The sequence below is a fragment of the Homo sapiens genome, chromosome 4 (genome assembly GCF_000001405.40).
Source record: "Homo sapiens chromosome 4, GRCh38.p14 Primary Assembly".
Lineage (NCBI taxonomy): Eukaryota > Metazoa > Chordata > Mammalia > Primates > Hominidae > Homo > Homo sapiens.
The window spans coordinates 189,306,827-189,309,622 of NC_000004.12; the positions used below are offsets into that span (position 1 = coordinate 189,306,827).

The window sequence follows — 2,796 nt, forward strand, 5'->3', positions numbered from 1 at the left end:
GGACATCTCTCTAGTTGCCTATTATGTAGAAGAAAAATACATGAATTTAGAAGGCAGCTAAGTTCCTGAACCAAGTTTATCTATTTGCCTGTGCTGGAGGGTCTTAAAGAGTTTATTACTCACAATTTTTTTGCTTTTGTTTTAAATTTTGTATCTGTGTCATGGCAACTTTCTTCATTTCTAGATTCAAGTTTAGCCTAACTGAGAAAAAAAGGCAGTGCAATCAGTGATACTGTTATAGGGACGACTAACAGCTCAGGAGGTGACTGGGGAGGCGCTGGTCGGGCTGCTCAAACAGTCATTACATTGTTAGATTACGAATCGTCAGGTAATCCCTAACAACAGCCACACACACCATCCACTCATTTAACAAACATCTTCCGCTATGCAAATAAACTGCAAACAATGTGTTTTAAAGGCAGAAATGGATCAAGTTTCTTCTAAATTATTACAGTGATTGAGCACACAGCACAAAACCCACTTTTTTGCTCACTCCTTCCCGTGAATTCCCACCACCAACATTCTGAAGCCCAGACTGAAAAACCAACTAGCAGGTGCTTTAATGAGGGCCCACAGGTCACGCGGCGGACTGGCAGGTACTCTAATGAGGGCCCACAGGTCACACGGCGGACTTGCAGGTACTCTAATGAGGGCCCACAGGCCACGCGGCGGACTGGCAGGTACTCTAATGAGGGCCCACAGGTCACACGGCGGACTGGCAGGTACTCTAATGAGGGCCCACAGGTCACACGGCGGACTGGCAGGTACTCTAATGCGGGCCCACAGGTCACGCGGCGGACTGGCAGGTACTCTAATGAGGGCCCACAGGTCACGCGGCGGACTGGCAGGTACTCTAATGAGGGCCCACAGGTCACACGGCGGACTGGCAGGTGCTCTAATGCGGGCCCACAGGCCACGCGGCGGACTGGCAGGTGCTCTAATGAGGGCCCACAGGTCACACGGCGGACTGGCAGGTACTCTAATGAGGGCCCACAGGTCACGCGGCGGACTGGCAGGTACTCTAATGAGGGCCCACAGGTCACACGGCGGACTGGCAGGTACTCTAATGAGGGCCCACAGGTCACACGGCGGACTGGCAGGTACTCTAATGAGGGCCCACAGGTCACGCGGCGGACTGGCAGGTACTCTAATGAGGGCCCACAGGTCACGCGGCGGACTGGCAGGTGCTCTAATGAGGGCCCACAGGTCACGCGGCGGACTGGCAGGTACTCTAATGAGGGCCCACAGGCCACACGGCGGACTGGCAGGTACTCTAATGCGGGCCCACAGGTCACACGGCGGACTGGCAGGTGCTCTAATGCGGGCCCACAGGTCACACGGCGGACTGGCAGGTACTCTAATGAGGGCCCACAGGTCACGCGGCGGACTGGCAGGTGCTCTAATGAGGGCCCACAGGTCACACGGCGGACTGGCAGGTACTCTAATGAGGGCCCACAGGTCACGCGGCGGACTGGCAGGTACTCTAATGAGGGCCCACAGGCCACACGGCGGACTGGCAGGTACTCTAATGCGGGCCCACAGGTCACACGGCGGACTGGCAGGTGCTCTAATGAGGGCCCACAGGTCACCCGGCGGACTGGCAGGTGCTCTAATGAGGGCCCACAGGTCACGCGGCGGACTGGCAGGTACTCTAATGCGGGCCCACAGGTCACGCGGCGGACTGGCAGGTGCTCTAATGAGGGCCCACAGGTCACACGGCGGACTGGCAGGTACTCTAATGAGGGCCCACAGGTCACACGGCGGACTGGCAGGTACTCTAATGCGGGCCCACAGGTCACGCGGCGGACTGGCAGGTGCTCTAATGCGGGCCCACAGGTCACCCGGCGGACTGGCAGGTGCTCTAATGCGGGCCCACAGGTCACCCGGCGGACTGGCAGGTACTCTAATGAGGGCCCGCAGGTCACACGGCGGACTGGCAGGTACTCTAATGCGGGCCCACAGGTCACGCGGCGGACTGGCAGGTACTCTAATGCGGGCCCACAGGTCACGCGGCGGACTGGCAGGTACTCTAATGCGGGCCCACAGGTCACGCGGCGGACTGGCAGGTGCTCTAATGAGGGCCCACAGGTCACACGGCGGACTGGCAGGTACTCTAATGCGGGCCCACAGGTCACGCGGCGGACTGGCAGGTGCTCTAATGAGGGCCCACAGGTCACACGGCGGACTGGCAGGTACTCTAATGAGGGCCCACAGGTCACACGGCGGACTGGCAGGTGCTCTAATGAGGGCCCACAGGTCACGCGGCGGACTGGCAGGTACTCTAATGCGGGCCCACAGGTCACGCGGCGGACTGGCAGGTACTCTAATGCGGGCCCACAGGTCACGCGGCGGACTGGCAGGTGCTCTAATGCGGGCCCACAGGTCACCCGGCGGACTGGCAGGTGCTCTAATGCGGGCCCACAGGTCACCCGGCGGACTGGCAGGTGCTCTAATGCGGGCCCACAGGTCACCCGGCGGACTGGCAGGTACTCTAATGAGGGCCCGCAGGTCACACGGCGGACTGGCAGGTACTCTAATGCGGGCCCACAGGCCACGCGGCGGACTGGCAGGTGCTCTAATGCGGGCCCACAGGTCACACGGCGGACTGGCAGGTGCTCTAATGCGGGTCCACAGGTCACGCGGCGGACTGGCAGGTGCTCTAATGAGGGCCCACAGGTCACGCGGCGGACTGGCAGGTGCTCTAATGTGGGCCCACAGGCCACGCGGCGGACTGGCAGGTACTCTAATGCGGGCCCACAGGCCACATAGTGGACTGCGTTTTCATCTCCAGGATCC

The 2,796-nt window shown here is 60.2% G+C and overlaps 1 annotated feature.

Annotated features, from left to right (window-relative positions):
• Positions 1,384 to 2,583: an enhancer, noted in NCBI's record as "BRD4-independent group 4 enhancer chr4:190229364-190230563 (GRCh37/hg19 assembly coordinates)". NCBI's record gives its function as "activates an origin of replication core promoter dependent on BRD2, P300/CBP, MED14 and CDK7 cofactors, and independent of BRD4, by STARR-seq in HCT116 cells {active_cell/tissue: HCT116}" and the evidence as "EXISTENCE:reporter gene assay evidence [ECO:0000049][PMID:35650434]".